At 44.7% G+C, this 25,604-nt stretch overlaps 1 protein-coding gene across 6 annotated transcripts in view; it reads left to right on the plus strand.

The window, feature by feature from the left end:
- The window catches only part of SEZ6L (seizure related 6 homolog like), a 214,135-nt gene that overhangs the window by 109,159 nt on the left and 79,372 nt on the right, over nucleotides 1-25,604 (plus strand). For all 6 annotated transcript variants that reach the window (NM_021115.5, NM_001184773.2, NM_001184774.2 and 3 more), the window contains exons 2-5: nucleotides 13,786-14,526; nucleotides 15,672-15,805; nucleotides 18,268-18,460; nucleotides 20,364-20,549. In NM_021115.5, the coding sequence (NP_066938.2) occupies nucleotides 13,786-14,526; nucleotides 15,672-15,805; nucleotides 18,268-18,460; nucleotides 20,364-20,549 (1,254 nt within the window). The remainder of the gene's footprint in view (nucleotides 1-13,785; nucleotides 14,527-15,671; nucleotides 15,806-18,267; nucleotides 18,461-20,363; nucleotides 20,550-25,604) is intronic.

Raw genomic sequence — 25,604 nt, forward strand, 5'->3', positions numbered from 1 at the left:
ATTCCTAAAAATGTCTTTTTAAGAGACAGTTTGCTCTCCTGGCTTCTCTTGTGGTGGGACCCAGGTTCTTTGGTGTATTGTAACAATGAAATGTGTTCCATCATTAAAAGGAATGAATTTTTTAAAAAAGAAAAGAAGGGGAAAGAAAGAAGGAAAGAAGGAAGGAAGGAAGGGAGGGAGGAAGGAAGGAATGAAGGAGAGAAAGAAACAGAAAAAGAAAAGGAAAGAAAGAAGAAAAGAAAAGAAAGAGAAAGAAAGAAAAGGAAGAAAGAAAGAAGGAGAGGAAGGAAGGAGAGAGGAAGGGAAGAAGAAGAAAGAAAGAAAGAAAAAGAAAGAAAGAGGAGAGAGGAAGGGAGGGAGGGAGGGAGGAAGGAAGGAAGGAAGGAAGGGAAGGAAGGAAAGAAGGAAAAAATGAAAAGTGGAGCTCATCCAACTTCCCCCCCAACCACGTTGAATGACTCCCCAGTGCCTCGACTTCCCATGGAAAGTTAGGCATTCCCCTTGGGCATTTCCCATGCTCTGTCTGTGACTGCACAACACCACTGCAAGTAATCACCTTAGGCAAGTTTTTTGAGTGTTGAGCAGAACCTAAGGGATGACCATTGGATGGCTTCCTGGTTTAGGCAGACCCAGTATTGAGATTTTCTTTGTCTCTCCTCCCACGGAGGGTGAACTGCCTGTGGGAGAATGTGATGGGTTTGCTTCCAGCCTCGTTTTCCCACCCAGCCACCGACTCTGAGAGGAAGAGGAGGGCTGGGGATCTTGGGATTTTCCTGTGCCGTGACATTGGAGGTGTTGAATCACAGAGAGTCAATCTGTGACCCCATCCTCCTTCTCTTCTTTCCTGCCTTTCCTGTCTCACTGCCAATAAATTCATCTCCAGTTAGAGGAAGAACATGGAATAGAGATCTGTCCATGTTCATCCTGAGGAAAAAATTGGGCGAAAAGAAAGGAAGTTAGAACAACTGATCTTTGAGAAGGCCAAGGACCAGGCCGTAGCAGTTTCCATCAGGATGGGGCCAGGGCACTTGGTCTTGTGTGAGTAATGTCTACACCCCGCTTCCTGTCACCCTTGCACAGCTACGTTCAGAATTATAGAACTTCTGGAAACGTCATCAGCTCCTCAGCATTTGCTAAACGCCCCCAAACATCCCTCCTCCCCCTGGAGAGGTAGAATACAAGTGTCTTTTCTTGGGGACTCCCTGCAGGAGAGAAGCTGATTTCCCTGCTCCCCACGGAAATGTGAGAGCAGTTAGAAAACCTGAGAAGGCTGGGGTTTGTTCTCTGCCCTCCTCTGAAATTGAGGTGACAAAGGGAGTTAATTATTTCGTTTTTAATTATTGCTATAAAAATAGCATGCATGTGGCAAAACAACCCAACTGTATACAATGATATACAATAAAAAAAATAAAAAGTGATTCTCTCTTTGAGCCCAAACCTCATTTCTACTCTGCTGAGGTAAAGCCCATTACCTGGTTCAAATGTTACACATGTGAGGGCTGGGATGCACACCCGCCTACCTTGATTGTTCTTGCTTCACACTGAGTTGTGTTGACATACAGCTGTGCCATTCTTTTTATTATTTTTCAATTTGTTACATAGTTTTTGAATAAGTAAGTCTCCCTATAAATACATACGTACATTTATACACATATATATATACATATATATGCATGTAAAAAAAGGTCTATAATGAAAATTCTCCTTTCCATCTTTATTCCTCATCATTCTACTTCCAATGCCCCACCTCCCCTGTAACCAACATAGTTCATTTCTTGTGTATTCTTTCAAAGTTCCTTTATGCACAGGTAAACAAATGCAAATATATGTAGCCTTGTTTTATCTCCCTGTTTTTGCACGAAAGGTAGCATACTCTGCACATCATTCTGCACCTTGGTTTTTGTTTTCTTTTTAGAAGGAAGAAGACTTCTTTATTGCTAGTAGGACTAAGCAGCCAATTTGTCTATACAGTCTGAAAACATTCCTAAAACTGCACCCTACACCTCCACCTCTCCCCACCCCACCCTTATGAGCAAAGAGCTATCATAGTTCAATTCTGAGCTGCTCACCTCCCCTGAATCTATATTGACATAGGGTTGAACCCAAGGGAAACCTGGTGTTCAGAGAACTCATTTTTCAAAATTTATCTATTTTTAATTGACTAATAAAATTGTATGTATTTATCACATACAACATGATGTTTTGAAATATGCAGGCATCGTGGAATGGCTAAGTCAAGCTAATTAACACATGCCCTACTTCACACATTTATTAATTTTGGGGTAAGAACACTTATAATCTAATCTCTTAGCCATTTTTAAGGATATAATACATTGTTATTCACTGTAGTCATCATGTCATACAATAGATCCCTTGAACTTATCTCTCCTATGCTTTGGCTTAAATTATTGTCCCTTCTAAGACTCATGTTGGAATTTAATCCCCAGGGTGACAGTATTGAGAGGTGGTGACTCAAAAAGGCTGTTGGATAAGGAGGGCTCTGCCCTCACAAATGGATTAACTACTCCTGAATTAATGGATTAATGGATTAATGGGTTATCATGGGAGTACAATTAGTGGCTTTATAAGAAGCAGGAGAGAGATATGAGCATATTAGTATGCTCCGCCCTGCAGCCACGTAATGCACTGCGTCACTATGAGACCCTGTAGATAGTCCCCACCAGGAGGAAGGCCTGAATTCTCAGCCTCCAGAATTGTAAGAAATAAGTTTCTTTTCTTTTCTTTCTTTCTTTCTTTTTTTTTTTTTTTTTTGAGACGGAGTCTCACTCTGCCGCCCAGGCTGGAGTGCAGTGGCGCCATCTCGGCTCACTGCAAGCTCCGCCTCCCGGGTTCACGCCATTCTCCTGCCTCAACCTCCCGAGTAGCTGGGAATACAGGCGCCCGCCACCATGGCCGGCTACTTTTTTTAAATTTTTTTTAGTAGAGACGGGGTTTCACCGTGTTAGCCAGGATGGTCTTGATCTCCTGACCTCGTGGTCCGCCCACCTCGGCCTTCCAAAGTGCTGGGATTACAGGCGTGAGCCACCGCACCTGGCCTTCTTTTCTTTAGAAATTACCCAGTTCCGATGTTCTGTGATAAGCAGTGGAAAACAAACTAAGAAATCCTAATTTAAATTATGTATCCTTTGACCAACATCTCCTTAATCCTTACCTACCCCTGCCCACCCCTCTGGTAAACACCATTCTACCCTCTGCTTCTGTGAGTTCAACCTTTTGGATTCCACCACATCTTACTTTTTAACATTACGGAATCCTTGGTCATCTCTCCTCTTCCGTGCATAGATAGCTTCATCATTCTCTTCTCTCAGCTGCATGGCATTCCACCTGGATATTCTGTAATTGATTTAACCTTATTGATGTATTCTTGATTTATCTTCTAGCCTTTTGCTGCTACAAATGGGGCCGCATTGCTTAACTCGTCTGCATAGCATTTTGCACATGGGCAAACATCTCTCTGTAGGATAAATTCCCAGAAGCAGACTCATGAGTCAAAGGGAAGATGTACAAATAATTCTGAAAGCTCTTGCCGTGTTACACTCTATGTTATTCACCAGTGACTTCATCTCATTCCTTTAAACCCTGCAGATATTTTACTGTGTTCTACAATCACGTAACTAGTCCCCTATGGATGGGTATGTATGTTGTTTCCAGATTTTTGCTACTATAAACAATGCTTTGTATTGTGAACACTTTGCAACACCCTAGTACGTGTCAATGACCACAAAGGTCTCTCAGCTTTGGGACATGACCAGGCAGCCTGTTTACCTAAAAATCTATTGCTGTTTCAGTGAAGCCTCTTTTGTTCTCAGGCCATTGAACCCAGACTGTCTTCCTAGCCCTCATTTACCATGGATCTCCAGTCTGACCTGTTACATAAACTCTGGTTGATGTGGAGCATGTCTGCAAAGCACCCTAGAATAGGCTCCCTGGATGCTCTTGAGAAAAAAGTGTGGTGAGGCAGGTGAAAGGTTGGGACCAACCGTAGGCACAGCTTCAGGTAGAAAGCGGCATCTAGAGAAAGCTCGAGAGTACCTCAAAAATCATCAAGGGGGCTTTTTAGAAGCCTACCGTGCCAGTATCCAGCTGCCCCAGATTCCATTTTAGATGGTCTAGTTAAAATCTTCAGAAAAGAAATGCTGACTTCACTGCTGAAGAGCAGCAGCACTCTCAAATAGAGTTGGTGGCAGGGTAAATAGGTTCAGATTATTCTGAAGGTGATTTTTTTTCTATGTCAATCAAAATTTAAAATGTGTAAATCTTTTGGCTGAGCAATGAGCAATGCAATTTCTTTTTTTTTGAGTTGGAGTCTCTCCCTGTCGCCCAGGCTGGAGTACAGTGGCGCGATTTTGGCTCACTGCAACCTCCACCTCCCGGGTTCAAGCGATTCTTCTGCCTCAGCCTCCTGAGTAGCTGGGACTACTACAGGTGTGCCGCCACACCTGGCTAATTTTTGTATTTTTAGTAGAGATGGGGTTTCACCATATTGGCCAGGCTGGTCTTCAACTCCTGACCTCATGATCTACCCACCTCAGCCTCCCAAAGTGCTGGGATTACAGGCGTGAGCCACTGCATCCGGCTGCAATACGACTTCTAGTATGCCCTCCTTAAGAAATTATGTGAATGTAATCCCCAAAGATGCGTATTAATTGCAGTACTAATTGGAGGAAGGTAGGGGAATGGCAATAATTTGAATATTAATCAATAGGAGACTGGTTCAGTGAGGTATATGTTTATATTTTAATGTAATCATTTAAAAAGAGTAAAGTGACTATGTGTGTTCTAGTCGAAAGCCCACGGCTTCTAAGTACAAAGTTGGTGGTAGAATACTAATGTAATGGAATACTATACAGCAGTGAAAAATGAATCCATCACAGCTGCACTTATCAACATGGATGAATTCTATAAAGTGTTGATCAACAACAACAATAAAAACAGAGAAAAAAGCAGTTTTCAGGATAATTCCTATGGTATGACAGCATTTATATAATATTTTTAAATGTGCCATACAATGCCATACATTGTTCACAGATATTTATATCTGTAACAAATAAGTGCATACAATAAATAATAGCAGTAAAATAAGAACAAGTGCACATAATAAACGAGAATGCTAAATGCCACATTCAGGGCAGTAGTTCATTCCAGGGGGTGGAGAAGGAGATGGAGAATATTATGGGGGAGGAAAGGCAGGGGTTTCAACTATACTAGGAGTATTCTATTCTTTAAGATGAAGGTGCACATATGTGGGTATTTACTGCGTTAGCCTTTAACTCTTTTTGATTGACTGAAATATTTCAAAATGTGTTACTCAGTAAGTTACAGAACAATATATGCCATGTGATAACTTTGTAAATGTTCAGACAGATAGAAAATGACAACTGTGTTCATGATGGCTGGCAGGCTGCTGTGTGAGCTCTGCATTTTACTGGCATGATTTCATTTTACTCTCTAAAACTCCAAAAGACAAGGCTGATGAAACCCCACCATACAGATGAGAACAGTGAGCCCCAGAGGAGGGGAATGGCTGTCCAGTGTCTTACCGGCAGTAACAGTGAGCTAAGTCCAGAACACAAACAGTTCTGACTCCCAATCTCACACTCCTAGGTGCTATTTTGCCTTTTAAAGTGAAAATATGTAAGTGTTTTTATATCAATACATTTTATTTAGAGATGAAACAAGACTTGGCCGGGTGCGGTGGCTCATGCCTATAATCCCAGCACTTTGGGAGGCCAAGGCACATGGATCACTTGAGTTCAGAAGTTCAAGGCCAGCCTGGCCAACATGGTACAACCCTGTCTCTACTAAAAATATAAAAAATATTAGCCGGGCATGTTGGCTCATGCCTGTAACCCTAACTATTCTGGAGATTGAAATGGGAGGATCGCTTTAACCCAGGAGGCGGAGGTTGCAGTGAGCTGAGATTGCACCGCTGCACTCCAGCCTTGATGACAGATCAGGACTCCAAAAAAAAAAAAAAAAAAAAAAAAAAAACCCTAATGACGGTTTAAACAAGATTACAATTAACACTGATACCCTGTAGAAAGCAGGATTGGTGAACAGAACGTAGGAGAGAAGTGCTTGTACTTTTGATTTCTTACCTCTCAGGTGTTCTTTAATTTTTTGAATAAACTATTTCACAGGAAATAATTATTTGAAGATGTGGGAAAGAGGAAAAGTGCACAGGAAACAAAGTCAGAAAGTGTCTAACTCTACCCCAGTTTTCTCTCTATGATCTTGAACAAGTCACTTCCCCCATAGGAGTCTTTATTTTTTTTTTCACCTATAAAATGGGAAAAACAAAATGTCAACTTTACAGTATTGTTTGGAGATCGGAATGAGATCCTAAGAGGGAATGAACTCTATGGAGTATAAATCGCCACTTGAATATCAGTATTGTTAGCATGGGCATACAGGCAGAGGGTTGCAACTGACTGATAGGGAAGACCCCTGCTGCCCCCAAGGCCACCACCACCTCTGCCTTTTGTTCCAGAAGGTCTTCTCAAAGTGCAAATGGGATCAATACTATGAATCTATCCTTCCAAGTGGACCACAGGGGGCCGGCAGCTGTTGCCTGGGCCAGTGACGAGCATGTAATAAGTGCAGAATGAATGAATGAATGAACGATAAATGGATAAATGAAGTGATGATCAAATGTGCCCGAGACGGAAACTCGGCTCTTGCTAAATCCAACTTCTTTATTTATAAAATAGACATTAAACTAAGACCTTCTCCAACCCTCAAATTCAATGATACAAGCAACACAAAGCTGATCAGTTCCAGGAATTGGGAAGGAAGTCTTTCTCAGTCCTGAGGGCAGTGCCAGATCACCTCTGTGTTGTGTTCACTGTGATTAATCCAGTGGTCTTCAACCAGAGGCAATCTTGCCACCCAGGAAACATCTGGCAGTGTTTGGAATCATTTTTGGTTGTCACAACTGGGCAGGTGATGGGAGGGTAGGGCATGCAGGTTGGGGGAGGTTTGCTGCTGGCATCTAGTGGGTAGAAGCTAGGGATGCTGCTCCGTTTCCTACAACGCATAGAGCAGCTTCTGTCACCCAGCAAAAATGATCCAGCCTAGATGTCAAAGGCATAAAAGTAACTGGCAGTACAGTTGGTTCTATGCCTTCAACTATCCAGATGTTCCTGGCTTTGTTTTTAATTTTGTGTGATGTGCTCTGCTGTGGTTTTTCAAGCCTCAAACAGCCTTGTTCTTTCACTGCTGCTGATATGCTGTGTTGACTCTGGACAACCGCTTCCCCTCTTTGAACCTCACACTCCTTTACTGGGCAGTTTGTAACCGTGATCTCCAGGAGCCTTTTGATCTTTAAGATGTGATATTTATTTTCAGTTTTGTCCCCAGTGGGGCCAAACAATCAAGGCAGGTTGGGCGAGTCTTTATAGTGGAGTCTGAAGTATAAGAAATAACCACTGGAATGGGTATTAATGAGGATTAGAATAGTGACTAACAGTTTTGCAGTACCTTTTACCAAAAGTACATCCATTGATTCACCTGTCAGTCCTGCGTCCTAAAGGTAGTTACTGTAAATAGTGCCATGAGGGAATAATGATCATCATCTCTACCAGGAAACTGCATTCCAAAGAGGCTCAATGATTCCATCTGTGAAGTGCTTCTGTGATTACAACCTTGTGTGTGCATTCCTAGACCTCTCAATCACCAGGGGCTAGAGACAGCATCTTAAAATCAGCTCGTTCTGTAAATATTTATTTCATTTAAGAAAGTCTTTTACGTACTTATTATACGTATTTTGGAAAATGCCAAAAAGTAGGAAGGAGAAAATACACCCAGAGGCCACCAGGGCCTCCATCTTAGTGCCATTCTTCAAGTCAAAACATGATTCTCTGCATTGCAATTTGTTTTACTTCGTTGCTTCTAGCCATTTTCATACATACCATAGAATTTTATGTCTCATTCTTTTCACTGAACATTATAGCAGTAGCATCTCCCAGCTCTCGTTTCTTCACTCACATCACCTTGTACCTGCATGATGATATGTTACGCTACTGCTTGGAATTCCGTGCCTCTCCCAGGCATTCTGCTGCGGCTGGGGATTTAAGATACAAACCTTCAGCTTCAGAGCTTGTGCTTTTTTTTTTTTTTTTTTTGAGATGGAATTTTTGCTCTGTTGCCCAGGCTGGTGTGCAGTGGCACAATCTCGGCTCACTGCCACCTCCACCTTCTGGGTTTGAGTGATTCTCCCGCCTCAGCTTCCCAAGTAGCTGGGATTACAGGCCCCTGCCACCATGCCTGACTAATTTTTGTATTTTTAGTAGAGACAGGATTTCACAATATTGGCCAAGCTGGTTTCCAACTCCTGACCTCAAGTGATCTGCCCACCTCAGCCTCCCAAAGTGCTGGGATTACAGGTGTGATCCACCATGCCCGGTCGAGCTTGTGCTTTTTTTTTTTTTTTCACTTTAATAGGATGTTCCCAGTCTAATCTCCCATCTCCCCATCAAAGTTAGAAAAATGGGAGAGAAAGAGAGATACGCTGCTGCCCCAACTTGGATGGCAGAACAAATGTTCAATTGCCTTCTACGTGGCATGGCTCTGTCCTTTGGGGGAAGAGCAACATCAGCGTGCATTTAAGGAAAGCTCCATCTCTTCTGTTTGATCTCTGTAGTTGATTATCAGTGTGTGTGTGTTTTCCTAACTCCTTGAGGGCAGGGGCCAAATCTTAGAATGTTCACTCTCTTGTGTCGGGTGTCAACCATAGGAGAAAGTGAACACCCAACACTTTGATTGATTGACCGCTTTTGAGTAGAGCACCGACTGTACGTGATAAAGGAAGAATCAGATAAATGTGACTATCATGATAGAAAATTTTAAATGTTCTGAAAAAAAATGAGTTAATTTAACTCAGCGGTCATCGGACACCAAGAAAAACAAGGCTATTGGGGCAAGTTATAAAGTTGCTGGATAAGCAGTTTTGTCCCCATGATGTAAGTCTTCTCTATCTGGACATCATCATGGGGATATTCTGATTGCTCCAGTTTCCTGCTGAGGCCCTGAAGTACAATTTTCGCTAATTCCCAGTGGGACTTGGTTTTGCATGGCACTAATCTGGCCAACATCCTGGCTAAGAATGAGGCCTGTGGGCTGCCTATGTTGCAGACCACAGATGCATATCATCTGTGTTGGACTTGGCCTTAAGTTTGGAGCCAGCTGGCAAGATCCAAGCTTGTGTATGATTAAGGAAAAGGGGATAGTAGGGACTGAGAGATGAATTTATCTGGTGGATACAAAACTCTCCTTGATGGTCAGGTTTTCAGTGGGAAAGGGCTGACTCTGAACCCAGCTGGGTTTCCTTCTTAGAGTGGTTTATAGCTGCTGCGGTTAGCACCCTTGTACCCTGGGGGACCCAGAGAGTAAGAACAGCAGCTGTGAAGAGGAAGCCAGTTGGGGAATCTGTTTTCTTGCATTTCCTTCTGTTCTTTTGACTGTATTTGGGTCTTGGAGGACTGGGATTGCTAGGGGAGATCACAAGCCTTGGAAAGAGTCAAAGAGTCACCATCTGCTGCACAAACCCACACTTTGTTTTCTGCCAACTGCATCCTTAGGCACTTGGAAGACAAAACAGATGAGGAACACATAGTAAGTCAGGTGGGTTCACGTGTTCCCAAACTTCCCTGGCAACTCTGATAATAAAAGTCACCAGAGGAGTTTTTCAATCATCAGCTTCCCAAGACCCACCCCTGGAGATTCAGATGTGATGGGTCTGAATTCTGTGGAGTTGGGGTTGGAGATTAGAAAAACACTCTAGCCCACCCAGCAGAGACAAACAAAATGAGAGGGAAAGGGAAGAGGCTGATTCAAGCTGAGGAGGAGGATGCCAAGTGACATCAATACCCCATATTTCTTAAAAGAGCTAGTAGCATGATCTTTGGGGTCATAAAAACCAAGATTTGAAACCCAGCTTTGCTGTGTGACCTCAAAAAGTGATTTAACATCCCAAAACTTCACTTTGATCATTCATAAAATAGGAACAATAATTTCTGCCTGATACGGTTGAGAAGGAATTAAAAAGGAGGCAATGGATGCAAAGCCCTCTTCATTACTCAACAAAGCAATCACAATTAAAACATTATAAATATCACTGTTATTTTGGCCAAGGTGAATTGATGTGCTTTTTGTCACCTCCTTGTGTGCAGATGACACAACTTGTTTTTCCAATCTTGCTCTCTCTCTCCTCTCTCTCATCCCCACTTATAATTAAGGGGTAATGTTTGCAAAGGAGCTGGCTGGCCAGATAACCCAAAAAAAAACCCCCAACATCCGCCAGTGTTGGGATTTAGCAGTCACCTTTTCCAATTTAGCAGGGTTAACAAATGGCTCTAAGAATAATTGTCAATTCCCTGGTCATTTCAAAAACCCAACAATGTCTGAGCTAGAAAGGCCCTTCTTTCATATGCAGTCTGGCTGCCCATTTGACACATAGAGAAGATGCAGAGAAGAGGAGACCCATGCAAAGTCATGCTAGTGAATAGTGGCCAAGATGGGACACCACCCAGATCCCTCAGCTCCTGGTTGTATCCAAGTACTTTGTGTTGTACCACAGCTGGGTCTTGGAAGCTGGGTGTCCTGACCCCTCCCCCCTGCTCTTTTTGTCCCTATGCCCTCTTTTCACTCCACAGTCTACAAAGATGGTCAACATCAATCATTTTAGAAAAGCGACAGTGAGCATAAAAGCCATTGTTTTGAGGCAGATCCACGTCTGGTCTAATCCAACAAGGTAGATAGAATACCTCCATTATACAAAAGAGGCTGCTGAACCTCAGCAAGGTTCAAGGACTTGCCCAGACTCACTCAGCTCATAACTGTAACAGGCAGGATTTGAACCCTAACTCTGAAGCTTCACTACTCCCCACCTTGGACTAGGAAATCTGCCTGATGCCTGAATGACCTTGACCTGCCCTCATGCCATCCACTCACGCTGCTCCCAGATACCCATTCCTGGCCCAGCATCACTGGCGGCCTGGAAGGAACACTGGCTGGTAATCAATGTTACACAACAGGAACATTTGTTGATGCCAGTTGCAAACTGTTGCAGTCTATATAGATTAAGCCACCGCCGCCAACTCCATGAAAGTAAATGAGCCTCTCCAACGACTGCTGAAATAAATTTAAATGACAGCACTGGAGGGCCTGGAGACTGTAGCTGAGTGAGTGTCTCCCTGCAGAAAATCGACAAGGACAGCTATCAGTCCGAGGGCCTTTGTCCCCGTGATGTAATTCCTCTCTATCTAGACATCTTCACGGGGATGTTCTGATTGCTCCAGTTTCCTGCCGAGGGGCTGTGATTGCAATGACAAGAGTAAAAACCATGACGGCAGCTGGCATTTGCTAAGCACTCACTACGGGTGAGGCGCTGTCCTAAGTGCTTTGCATACATCAACTCGCTGAATGATGGCAACCCCAGGAAATAGGAAATAATAGCCCCATTTGACAGCTGAGGGAACTGAGGCTTGGAGAGTGAAGTCATTAACCAGCAATTGGCAGAACTGGGTCTTTAAAAAGCAAACAAAGCTGGTTTCCAGCACCATTCTGCCAGACAGCTGCCTGGGCCAGCCCTTCTTTAAAATGACTATTGGGCCGGGCGCGGTGGCTCACGCCTGTAATCCCAGCACTTTGGGAGGCCGAGGCGGGTGGATCACGAGGTCAGGAGATCGAGACCATCCTGGCTAACATGGTGAAACCCTGTCTCTACTAAAAAATACAAAAAATTAGCTGGGCATGGTGGCACGCACCTGTGGTCCCAGCTGCTCAGGAGGCTGAGGCAGGAGAATGGCGTGAACCCGGGAGGCGGAGCTTGCAGTGAGCCGAGATCGCGCCACTGCACTCCAGCCTGGGCGACAGAGTGAGACTCCGTCTCAAAAAAATAAATAAAATAAAATAAAATAAAATGACTAAATGGTTTTACCTTCCAGACAAAAATAAATCGCAAGGATGGGGACCAAGGTGGGAGGATCACTTGATCCCAGGAGTTTGCAACCAGCCATAGTGAGATCCGTCTCAAGAAAAAACAAAATGAATTACAAGAAGTTAGCAAGGTATACAAGGCCCTCCAGGGCCTGGCCCCTGCCTCCCTACCTTACCAGCTTTATCCCCCGTACTCTCCACTTGTGCTCCAAAACCCCTTGCAATTCTTTTGTGCCCACCTCTGCCCAGCCTCCAAGCCTCCATGGGTCTTCACACAGTCCTCTGTTCTGAATCTGCCTCGTGACTCTGAATCCTAAAACATTTCTGTGTCTCCCACAAGGTCACTCTTACATTCCTTCAGTTTAAAATGTACCTCCCCCAACCCTGCTTTTACACTGTTGGTGGGAATGTAAATTAATTCAACCATTGTGGAAGATGGTGCTGAGATTCCTCAAAGATCTGGAACCAGAAATAGCATTTGACTCAGCAATCCCATTACTGGGTCCCATTACATATATACCCAAAGGAATATAAATCATTCTGTTACAAAGATACATGCATGCACATGTTCATTGCTGCACTATTCACAATAGCAAAGACGTGGAATCAACCTAATGCCCATCAATGATAGACTGGATAAAGAAAATGTGGTACATGTACACCATGGAATACTATGCAGCCATAAAGACAAACAAAATCATGTCCTTTGCAGGGACATAGATGGAGCTGGAAGACATTATCCCTAGCAAACTAAGGCAGGAACAGAAAACCAAACACCACATGTTCTCACTTATAAGTGGGAGTTGAACAATGAGAACACATGGACACAGGGAGGGGAGTAACACACACTGGGGCCTGTTGCGGGGTGGAGTTGGGGGAGGGGAGAGCATTAGGAAAAATAGGTAATGCATGCTGGGCTTAATACCTAGCGTGGGTTGATAGGTGCAGCAAACCACCATGGCACATGTTTACCTACATAACAAACCTGCACATCCTGCACATAGGCCCCAGAACTTAAAATTAAAATTTAAATTTAAAAAAACTCTCCTCCCCCATCCCCCAAGCCCAGCCAGAGCACACAGCTTAGAAAAGAGAGTGTGGCCTGGTGTCCATCCCCACTCATCCTCTTAGCTGCATGTCTTTGTACAGGGAACAATCTGCCCAACTGTACATGGCATGCCTGTCCTGCAGACGGGGTTAGGGCCCGTCCTCTCTGCTCTCTTAGCACACAAGCTTTTCTCTTTCCAAGCATTCATCATATCAAATATGATTGTGTCTACTTTCCCATCCCCCTTCCCAGTACATATACAACCAGGCAGTGAGGCCCCTGTGCTTTTTGTTTCTATACTCCTAATGCTTAGCTCAGTCCTGGCATGATCAAGCCCAAGTCTTCAGGAAAAGGAAGGAAGGAAGGAAGGAAGGAAGGAAGGAAGGAAGGAAGGAAGGAAGGAAGGAAGGATGGATGGAAGGAAAGAAGGAAGGAAATGAAGGAAGAAAATGAAGGAGGAAGGAAGAAAGAAAAAAATGGAAGGGGAAAGGAAGGAGGGAGGGAGGAAAGAAAGAAAGAAAGGAAGGAAGGAAGGAAGGAGGAAGGAAAGAAGGAAGGAGGGAGGGTGGGAGGAAAAGAAGGAAGAAAAGAGAAAGAGGGAGAGAGGGAAGGAGGAGAAAAAAGAAAGGAAGGGAGGGAGGGAGAAAGGAGAAGTTGGTTTAGAGGCCAGCCGGACGAGCTTTGGGCACCGCCCTTAGGAGGGCCACCCTCAGAGTCTGACAGCAGGTGAAGGTCCTAAATCTCCCCAAACTAACTGGTGTCTTTTCTCCTCTTCCAAGATGCTCTTCCCGAGGGAGATGCTAGCCCTTTGGGTCCTTACCTCCTGCCCTCAGGAGCCCCGGAGAGAGGCAGTCCTGGCAAAGAGCACCCTGAAGAGAGAGTGGTAACAGCGCCCCCCAGTTCCTCACAGTCGGCGGAAGTGCTGGGCGAGCTGGTGCTGGATGGGACCGCACCCTCTGCACATCACGACATCCCAGCCCTGTCACCGCTGCTTCCAGAGGAGGCCCGCCCCAAGCACGCCTTGCCCCCCAAGAAGAAACTGCCTTCGCTCAAGCAGGTGAACTCTGCCAGGAAGCAGCTGAGGCCCAAGGCCACCTCCGCAGCCACTGTCCAAAGGGCAGGGTCCCAGCCAGCGTCCCAGGGCCTAGATCTCCTCTCCTCCTCCACGGAGAAGCCTGGCCCACCGGGGGACCCGGACCCCATCGTGGCCTCCGAGGAGGCATCAGAAGTGCCCCTTTGGCTGGACCGAAAGGAGAGTGCGGTCCCTACAACACCCGCACCCCTGCAAATCTCCCCCTTCACTTCGCAGCCCTATGTGGCCCACACACTCCCCCAGAGGCCAGAACCCGGGGAGCCTGGGCCTGACATGGCCCAGGAGGCCCCCCAGGAGGACACCAGCCCCATGGCCCTGATGGACAAAGGTGAGAATGAGCTGACTGGGTCAGCCTCAGAGGAGAGCCAGGAGACCACTACCTCCACCATTATCACCACCACGGTCATCACCACCGAGCAGGCACCAGGTATGCAGCCCCCAACTCCTGAAGCCATCCTGAAACAGCCATGAGGCACTCACTATGTTCAGGGCATGTGGGTAGAGGAATCTCAAGAAGCCCCGGCCCCACCATCAGTTACCGTCCATTGAGCACTGACTATGAGCTTCGCCCTGTGGCTCAGAATTAATAGCCTCATTTCATTTGTTTGTTGTTTTGGGGGGTTGTTTTAGCAAAGGGGTCTTGATCTTTCGCCCAGGCTGGAGTGCCATGGCACGATCATAGCTCACTGCAGCCTCAAACTCCTGTGCTCAAGTGATCCTCTTGCCTCAGCCTCTTGAGTAGCTGGGACTACAAGCATGCACTATGATGTCCAGCTAATTTTTTTGTTTTTTGTAGAAAGGGGGTCTTGCTTATTGTCCAGGCTGGGGAACTCCTGGGCTCAAGCAATCCTCCCACCTCAGCCTCCCAAAGCACTGGGATTACAGGCATGAGCCAGGACACTCAGCCAACATCCCCATTTTAAAGATGAGACAACTGAAACCCTGAGACCCCCAAGCAACCTGCCAAAGGTCACACAGCTAATGAGCAAGATTCAAAACCTTTTCATCTTGGAACGGAATTCTTCATTTAACCTGCTTCAAAGCCACTAGCCTTTTCAAAGCACATTTGCTTTTAGCATTACATGTATTTTCTAGACTTGATAAAATGCTCTTCTGTGTTCCAGTCTTCTCTACCATCTTTAAAATGGGAGAAGGACCCCCAATTGTCAAGCATACATGGATTTTGGACAAGTGCAATGTGGCCACCCTTCAAAGCACGTGAGCTCTGGGTCCAAATCCTGCTTGCTGTTTGAGCTCGGCCCCTCTCTGAGCTTTTGTTTACTTCCCTCTAAACTGGGGATGAAATATTATCAGTCCCTATGAGAATAAGTGGGGTCACCCCTGTTGACTAGCTAAAATGGTGCCTAGCAGGATATAGTAAGTGATCATTCTGTGTCAATTATTGCTATTTTTATTATCATGTCAATTCTGGAGCTGAGGAATTAACAGCAGAAGGACAGATGGGAACAGCAAAATGCAGGTTCCCCTAAAGCCCCCATTCCACCCCACAGCCCATGGTTGAGCTTACATCCAAGTTGTCTTTGGTGTCCTAATTAAAGTCCTTCCTTCCAGCTCTCTGCAGTGTGAGCTTCTCCAATCCTGAGGGGTACATTGACTCCAGCGACTACCCACTGCTGCCCCTCAACAACTTTCTGGAGTGCACATACAACGTGACAGTCTACACTGGCTATGGGGTGGAGCTCCAGGTAACCCCAGGAGAGTACCTCACAGAGGCTGCCTCGTCTAGCAGGAAGTCTCAGGAGGATTGTCTGAGTCAGGCTTACTGTTATGCTAACTAGTTTGGTTCTGTCTTTGCCCAACCAGGCCAACTTTAGCTGGGTTTTGGCGAATGAGTAGGAGTTCTTAACTCAATGCTTTGCTAAAATAGCTTGTGGGGATAGAGGGAACATGCTGACAAATTCTGAGGTATTTCCCAGAAGGAAAATCCCTTGATACTCTGCTTATCTCACACACACATACACACACGCATGCACGTGCATAAACACACACACACACACACACACACACACACACACACGGAAGCTCCACCTGATTCATTTGATTCTTTCTTGCTTGCTTGCTTCCTTATTTCTCTTTCTCTTTCTTTCTTGCTTGCTTGCTTGCTTCCTGCTTTCTTGCTTCTTTCTCTTTCTCTTTCTTTCTTTCTTTCTTGCTTGCTTGCTTGCTTCCTGCTTTCTTGCTTCTTTCTCTTTCTCTTTCTTTCTTTCTTTCTTTCTTTCTTGCTTGCTTGCTTGCTTTCCTTCATTTTCTGGTTATTAGGACATTTTATTCTTAAACTTTTGCCCATACAGTAAGAAAGGAAAAGCAGGGTGGCATAATGCTCAAACATCTGGGTTTTAAGTCCTACCTCTTCCAGTTAAAACTGCGTGACTTTGAACAAGGAACTTCACCTCTCTGAGCCTCAGTTTCCCGATCAATAAAATAGGAATAATGTTACTGCTTTGTAAAGTTTGGGGGAGCAGTAAATATGACAATGCAGAGATCATTTGGCCACAGCCCAGCAGAGAGAGAGGGAGGAGAGAGAGAGAAATCATTTGGTCAGAGCCCAGCAGAAATCGCGACCATGCAGTGCATGTTATCCATTATCTTCAGTATGCTAATCACCCTGAATGTGTTCCTTTTTCTCATGGGAAATAAAGAGCCATCAAAAGTTTCTGAGCTGGGGCAGGTGTATGACCTTACCTTAGGAAGGTTTTTTGTTTTTGTTTTTGTTTTACTTGTATAAGAGAGACAAAAGGTAAGCCCCTCAGCAGTAGAACCTGTAGTCTTTGCAGTCCCCAGAGCTTTGCACAAGTGTGTGGCACATTGTAGGTCCTTAATAATTGTTCATGGAATTAAAATAAACTGGAGAAAACCTGCAGTCCAGATTATTATAGTGCTTAAGAACCCTTTCCTCCATGTCATGAAGAGTATTGGACCCAGTATGTGTCCAGTACTGTGTGGAGCCTTTTACCAGGCACAGTAGAGTTCATTCATTGAGCAATTAGAATGCACCAGGCAAAGCTGTTGACACAGGAGAATATGTTGATGTAAAAAACTGATGCAATGCCTGCCCTAAAAGAGAAATACGTAGGATGCCATTTAGTAGGGACTCTAATTGGTGTTTTAGAGGTTGTTGTAGAATCGCAGCAAAGGAACAGGCAAACTCCTTGGCAATCAGGGAAGGTCTCATAGAGGAGGGCAATTTTAATGGGGCTTTGGTGAATGAGTAGGAGTTCATCAAAGAGAAAAGAGGATAAGATATAGGGCCTGAAGGAAGAAGAGCTTGTGGGTAAGGCCTGCCCTGTTTAGAGGAGAGGCAGAGAAACTAAAGTTCCAAGCCCTACTCATAAAAGCGTAAGTCTTCAAATTAGGCATTGAGACCTGACTAAATTCTCCCTTACACACACACGCGCACATACCATTTGTTCAGCCTCCCTGCGTACAACTAAAGTATCTCGCTTCTTTCTTCTCAAATCCCACAGAGTGTAAATGGCAAAGCAAGTGTCTGATTCTTTGAGATAGGGGTTGATTGTCCTGCAGTTGTAGCCACCACTGGGGAGAATAAGAGAATGGGCCAGAGAGTGCCCTAGAAATGAGGCCCCCACCCCTCACTTACCAATTTATGCAGAAAATGGAAGAATATATTCAATCTTTTTTAAATATTTTCTGAGCACTTAATATGTGCCAGGTACTATTCTAGGCACTGGAAACATTGAACAGCATGGAGAAATCCCTAACCTTGCAGAGTATACATTCTGGTAGAATGCTTCTCCCGGCTCCCTGGAGATTGGATCTCAAGCACAAGCTGATCCAACTGCTGCCTCCACTCACCAGCTCCAGGATAATCTATCCCACCCACTAGCATCCAGGGCCTGTGCCAAAGGCCCCTCTTACAGGACACAGCAATGGGGGCCTCACATTGCAAGTCCCTTGCAATGCCTCTGCCTTGCAGTTTGGTTTCACTCTATCCCCTTGGCTTTTGGGGAAATTAGGGGGACCTTGATATTCCCAGGGCTCCTGTGGGCTCGGCATGGGGCCCAGGGGTCCCGTTGACCAGGGGCTAGCAGTACCTGGGCCACTTTTCACTGACTTCTTTGCAACCTTAGAAGGCTCTGTCTCAAACACAACTCAGAGTTCCTCTCTGTCTGCTTCTGCCTGTTCCCAGGTGAAGAGTGTGAACCTGTCCGATGGGGAACTGCTCTCCATCCGCGGGGTGGACGGCCCTACCCTGACCGTCCTGGCCAACCAGACACTCCTGGTGGAGGGGCAGGTAATCCGAAGCCCCACCAACACCATCTCCGTCTACTTCCGGACCTTCCAGGACGACGGCCTTGGGACCTTCCAGCTTCACTACCAGGGTAGGGTCAGGCCAAGGCTGATGAAACATAGGCGTTTGCCTCAGTTTCCCTCTGGAGAAAAGGATTTTAAAACTTTTTGTGCCAGGGACCTCTCTGACAGTTTGGTAAAACCTACAAACCCCTTCTCAGAATAATGTTTTTAAAAGTATAAAATAAAATATATACAATTTTAAAGAAAACGGTATTACTGAGCTGCAGTTATCAAAATACTGTTATAATCTATGATGCCTTAATCTATGTGCTTTTTATTAATTCATTAAACAATGTCTTCTAGTAGTTCTTATAATTGCTGACATTTCAAAGTACTAAGGAGCATAAGAAATAGGTTGAGATATCCATTATGATATGAAAAATATCTGTGGTTTCTCTTGGTGTCAAAGTCACAGGTTCTACTACAATGTTTCAGTTTGTTGCCAGGAAAATAGCACAGCTAAGGTAGAGGTTAATGAAAATAAGCAAGCAGCTTTCCTTCATTCAAGTTCACAGGCCCTGAATTCAATATATAGATCCACTGTGCGTCCACAGACTCCTGATAAAGAGCCTTAACAGGGTACTTCTCTCTTTTCTTCTTCCTCTACTGGTTTTCCTTTTTGTCTGTTCCTGTCTTCTCTGTTTTGCTCTCTGTTCATTCCTCTCTTCTCTTACTTCCTTTCTCCTTCCTTCTCTTCTCCTCCCTCTTTGCTTGCTTGTTTTATTTCTTCATTTCCTCCTCTCTTTCTCTTCCTTTCCACCCTCTATTTTCCCTCCCTTCTCTCTCTCTCTCCTTTCCTAGTCCCCCTTTTCTTCCCCTCTCCTCCACCCCGATTTCCTCCTATGCAGCTCCCATGACCTCAGGTCTCCTTTGCCTCACCCAGGAACTTTCCCTTGGATACTTACCAACTGCTGAAACATCTGAATGGAAAGTGGATTCGTGAACCATGCAACCAGATATTGAGAGCCATCATGTGTTATATCAAATTGTCCAGACATTTGAAAACAACAACAACTCATTTTCAACTTTTCTCTCACCTGTTTCTGAAACAGGTGGATGACTGCAAAGGGGAGTGTCCACTTCATCACAACTTTTCATTGTGGGATACTGCCCTTTGCTGTTGTTGTGAATTTAAAAGCAACAACAAAAAAGAATGTGAATCATGAACTTGAATGTATTCCTCCTCATCAGTACTGAGAATAAAGATATTCTGTGCTGCAGGAGAGGTCAGACCATGGTCTAGGGTGAAGAAGCTAGGATGAATTTGACATCCTCTTATGAAAACTGAGGAATTCAGTATGTCCCCATGCACCCTTTTACTACCCCCATCTACTGACTGCGAAGGAGGCTCTTTCTCTGTATTATCTCATTTAATCCCCACCACCACCTGTAAGGTGGAGGCACTGAGTCCTTGTCTCAAGGTGACATCGTTTTGTAAACTCACATTAGTTTTCTTTCTAAAGCCCAAGCTCCTGTCTCGCAGGCCAGTAGTTCTCGAGCTTTCATATCCTTGGGCAATTCCCAAAGACCTGGTTCAAGCATCTGCATTTTTAACAAGCACTCAAGATGTGCACGCAGGTGGGACTAAACTTCCTGGGTGGTCTTGCCCCTCCCAGTCCCAGAGAGAAGGCCAATCTGTCTCTACATAGATAGAGATAGGCTCAAAGGAGGTATGGAAACTCATTTTTCATCCCAAACCTGCTGTCTCTGTTTAGGCAGGGTGGCGATTTTTAAGTCCCAAGAAAGTGCTAACCTGGCAGTTTCAGCCTGATATGATCAAAGAGAGTCACAAAAATACCATTCTCCAGAGCTCTGGAGTCCCCAGGGGCCTCATCTTCTCTCCCCAGCACAAACTGGCTCCCAGGATGTGGGTCAGGTTCTTGATCTGCCACTCCAAGTGATGACTGAGTCTGCCTCTGCATTTCTTCCCAGCCTTCATGCTGAGCTGCAACTTTCCCCGCCGGCCTGACTCTGGGGATGTCACGGTGATGGACCTGCACTCAGGTGGGGTGGCCCACTTTCACTGCCACCTGGGCTATGAGCTCCAGGGCGCTAAGATGCTGACATGCATCAATGCCTCCAAGCCGCACTGGAGCAGCCAGGAGCCCATCTGCTCAGGTATGCTCCAGCCTCAGCCGGACCAAACCTGATGGTCCAACTAAGAGGGGAAAGACCAACCTGTAGGACACCGAGAGTGACCTCAGGGAATGGCTTTCAGCCCAGGGGAAGAAACTGCTCCAAATATGGATGACTATTGTTATTTATGTTTTTATTGGAGTAAAATACACATAATATGAAATTTACCATTGGAGACATTTTAGTATGTTCACGCTATTGTGCAACCATCACCACTACCTAGCTCCAAAACATCTTTAACACCCCAAATGGAAACACTGTACAGAAAGCAGTCACTCCCCATCCCTCCCTCCTCCCCACACTCGCTGGCAACCATCCGGCTGCATTCTGTCTCTGTGGATTTATCTATTGTGGATATTTTATGTAAATGGAATCATATAATATGTGACTTTCATGTCTGACTTCTTTCACTTAGCGCTTGGCACTGTGTTTTCAAAGTTCGTGTATGTTGTAGCATGTATCAGTACTTCATTTCTTTTTACAGCTGAATAATATTCCATTGTATGGATGTCCCACATTTTGTTGACCTGTTTATTCGTTAGTAGACATTTGAGTTGTTTCTACTTTTCAGCTATTATGAACAATGCTGCTGTGAACATTTGTATGCCAGTTTTTTGTGTGGATATGGCTTTCATTTCTCTTAGATATATACTCAAGAGTGGAATTGCTGGGTCATAGGGTCATTGTATGTATAACTTTTTGAGGAACCATCAAACGATTTTCCACAGCAGCTGCACCATTTTACTTTCCCCTCAGCAATGTGACAGTACCAGTGTCTCCACATCCTTGCCCACATATGTTCTTTTCCATGTTGTTGTTTTTATTGTAGCCATCCTTATGGGTATGAAGGTATCTCATGGTTTTAGTTTCCATTTCCCTGATGATTAATGATGTCAAGCATCTTTTCATGTATGTGTTGGCCATTTGTAGATCTTCTTTGGGGAGATGTCTAGTCAGGTCCTTTGCCCATTTTTTTTTAATTATACTTTAAGTTTTAGGGTACATGTGCACAACGTGCAGGTTTGTTACATATGTATACATGTGCCATGTTGGTGTGCTGCACCCATTAACTCATCATTTAACATTAGGTATATCTCCTGATGCTATCCCTCCCCCCTCTCCCCACCCCACAACAGGCCCCGGTGTGTGATGTTCCCCTTCCTGTGTCCATGTGTTCTCATTGTTCAATTCCCACCTATGAGTGAGAACATGCGGTGTTTGGTTTTTTGTCCTTGCGACAGTTTGCTGAGAATGATGGTTTCCAGCTTCATCCATATCCCTACAAAGGACATGAACTCATCATTTTTTATGGCTGCATAGTATTCCATGGTGTATATGTGCCACATTTTCTTAAACCAGTCTATCATTGTTGGACATTTGGCTTGGTTCCAAGTCTTTGCTATTGTGAATAGTGCTGCAGTAAACATACGTGTGCATGTGTCTTTATAGCAGCATGATTTATAATCCTTTGGGTATATACCCAGTAATGGGATTGCTGGGTCAAATGGTATTTCTAGTTCTAGATCCCTGAGGAATCGCCACACTGACTTCCACAATGGTTGAACTAGTTTACAGTCCCACCAACAGTGTAAAAGTGTTCTTATTTCCATTTTTTAATCAGGTTGTTTGTCTTTTTGTTATTGAGTTGTAAGCAATCATTATATATTCTGATCACTAGACCCTTATCAGATAAGTGGTTTGCAAATATTTTCTCCCATTTCATGGGTTGTCTTTTCACTTACTGACAGTGTTATTTGATGCACAAAGCTTTTACATTTGGCAAAATTAAATATTTTTTTCTTTTCTTTCTTGTGCTCTGAGTGTAACTACTGCCATTTTTCAAGCCAAGCCAATATGTGTTGCACACCGTGCCAGAGGCTGCATTTAATCCTCACAGCAATGCCATAGGATGGGAGCCATTATCCCCATTTTGCAGATGAGGCTCATGTAGGTGAAGTCACTTACTCAAAGCCTCCATGTAGAAATTGTTGGAGGTAGCCTGCTGACACAGTCTGGTGCCCTCTAGTAAAAAGAAGTGGGCTTTCTGAGCCAGCAGACAGAATCTGAGACTTCGAGGACAGAAGGAATTTTAAGCACCTGTTGGGCGTTGTTTGTCATTCAGAGCCTTTCCTATCTAGGTACTCATTCGACAAACATCCGCCGAGCGCCCACTGTGTGGTAGGCATTGCACCTGTTGCTAGAGCTATTGCAGGGACCCTGACCCAGTTCCTGCTCTCACAGAGTTTCCAGTCAAGGTGAGGCTGTAGTATGTAAATGAGTAAACAAGGATGCAAACATGCTGGTAACAGATTGTGTTAAGGACCAGGAAAGAAATTCACATGGTGGAATGATGCAGAGTGAGGATGGAGAGGACATCAGTTATTGTGAGAGGCGTTGCAATGCAGAAAAGGTATACAGGAAGAAGCTGTGATAGAGGACCTCACCTGGGAGGAGGACAGTGATGAGCGAAGGGTCAGGGAAGGATTACCTGATAACACTCCAAGATTTGGAAGTTGAGTAGGAAATAGACTGAGGGTGGAAAATGGGGGGGAGAAGGGGGAAACATTCCAGGCAGATGCACTAGCACATGCTAAGGTTCAGAGGTCAGAAGGAACTCGATGAGTTTGAGAAAGCAAATAAATAAATAAGATCAATCTGACTAAACTGCAGAGAAAATATCAGGACAGGAGGCTGGGGCAGTGGTCAGAAACTGTATTGCTCAAGGTCATGAGAAGACAGGTGGACTAGGTAGGAGATATCTGGAAAAATTTAAGCATAAGGGTGATCATTCTGACTTCTATTTGGCAAAAATGATTGAGGATGGTCAGAGTGGATCCATGGAAATCAAGGTGGACAATATCTACTATTTCACTTGAACTCAGGGAGATAAGATTACCACTTTCATAGGCAAAGAGAATGAGGCTTAGAGAGATGAAGTAACATACTTGAAGTGGCGAACTTAGTCCAGATCCCTTCTCTCCTGAGCTCCTCCCCTTACAGCTTCCTTACTCAAAGTGTGGTCCTCGGACTAGCAAAATTATTAGAAATGCATAATCCTGAGCCCCATGCAAAACCAAATGAATCAAAATTTTCACTTTAACATGGCCCTTGGGTGACTCATATGCACATTACACCTGGAGAAGCACTGGTTTGTAACGCACTGTCCCTGCACCAGTGGGCACAGCCTTGGCCATCTTCAGCTATCAAGAGAGCAAAACCCTTTTAGAATTCTCAAAAGTCCTGATGGTGGTTGAGAGAGTATAGGTTGCCCTGCCACCTACTATGTGCCAGGCTATGAGCCATGTGTGAAGAGAATATTGGAACTAATGAGACATAATTCCTGCCCTCCAGTTATTCATAGCCAAGTGGAGCTCAAAAAGGAAATGAGAGCTAATGATAAATTCTGAGATTCAATTGTTACAGTATTGTTCCCCCAAGGCCCTTCAGAATTTTTCTTTCTTTTTTTTAAACAAAGATAAAATTCCAAACCATAGGGCAGTTGGTCTTCACGCCTCTCTCACATTAATTTTTATCTATGTGTGAAATCAGGGAGGAATTAAGCTTCCATTTGTGCTAAGAAAGATGGATGGGGAGCCACGGCTGGCAAATTGAAGCCAAACAGAGCCATCAGTTGGCTTAATCAGGCAAAGAAGGGAAGCAGAGAAGCCGCAAACGATCAGCAGCTTGGGAGGACAGATGGCCAGAGCCCCCCACCAGGGACAGTGTCCTCCATTTCTCAGCTCCTGAGCCACAGGGCAATAGAGCTGGCTATGTTTTGAGTGCCCACTCTGTGCCAGGGATGGCATGAAGCTCCCCATGCCCATCGTTTCATTGATTTCTCACTACTGTCCTATAAGGAGGGTGGACTTATCACCATTTTACAGTGGGTAAACATGTGACTTGTCTTAGATCCACAGCAGATGACTGGCAAGGTTTCAACCTAGGGCTGGCTTATTTCACAGAACAATCTCTCCTCTAGGACAGAAGGGCAGCCTGGAGAGAGAAATGAACCTAGCTTTCTGTCTGTGGTCCTGAAAGAAGTATGGAGCTTCTTGGCAATGTCTTTGCTGTAGGTCACAACACAGTCTGGAGCAGAGATAAGAGTTATCCACCGTTCTCTGCTACTGCAAGCCCCATTCAGTCATACTGTCATTCAACAAACATTTAATGGGTACCTGCTATGTATCAAGCTTTGAGCTGATATTAGAGATACAAAAAGGAAAAAATATTTATTCTTTCATTCAACAAACATTTTATAAAGCAACTACTATATGCCATATACCTTTCTGGATTAGCAGGTTATCATAAATAAGACAGACAGTGGAGTAGTGACTTCGATAAGAGATACTGGAGTGAGGCAGCCTGAGCTTGAGTCTCAACTGCTCCACTTATTATGTGTATGTCCTTGAGGAAGTGGCGTAATACCTTTGAACTTCTTTTTTCCTCTTTTGCAAAATTAATCGTGGTTATTCAGTAAATATTTACTGAGCACATTCTACATACCAGGAGCTCTTCTGGTTGCTGGTAGTGTGACTGAAAGCAAACAAACAAAAAGTAGTCCTAGCTTTTGTGGAACCTACAAACCCCTTAGCCATCTGTGAGATGGTTCCAAATAACCTGTCCCACTTTTGCTTCCTCTCCTATATCTCTGAAAATGAAGGGGGAACCAAGCGTCCTGTGCTTGGGAAGGAAATATTTTTCAAGCTCCTTTGATCCTCATAAAAGATAGAAATGGCTCCCAAGACTTGAAACCCTGGTCATGGTGTAGGGCTTTACTCAATCGTGGCCCTGGGCTATTCTTCACATCCCTTCCTCCTGGACTGACTGCCACGCTCTGTGAGAAGCATCTGCTACCCACCATCTCTCCTCAGAAAATTCAAAACTGGCTGAGTGCTGTGGCTGATGCCTCTAATCCTTACATTTTGGGAGGCCAAGGCAGGTGGATCACGAGGTCAGGAGTTCGAGACCAGCCTGGCCAAGATGGTGAAACCCCATCTCTACTAAAAATACAAAAATTAGCTGGGCGCGGTGGTGGGC

Source organism: Homo sapiens, chromosome 22, assembly GCF_000001405.40.
Source record: "Homo sapiens chromosome 22, GRCh38.p14 Primary Assembly".
Classification (NCBI taxonomy): Eukaryota; Metazoa; Chordata; class Mammalia; order Primates; family Hominidae; genus Homo; species Homo sapiens.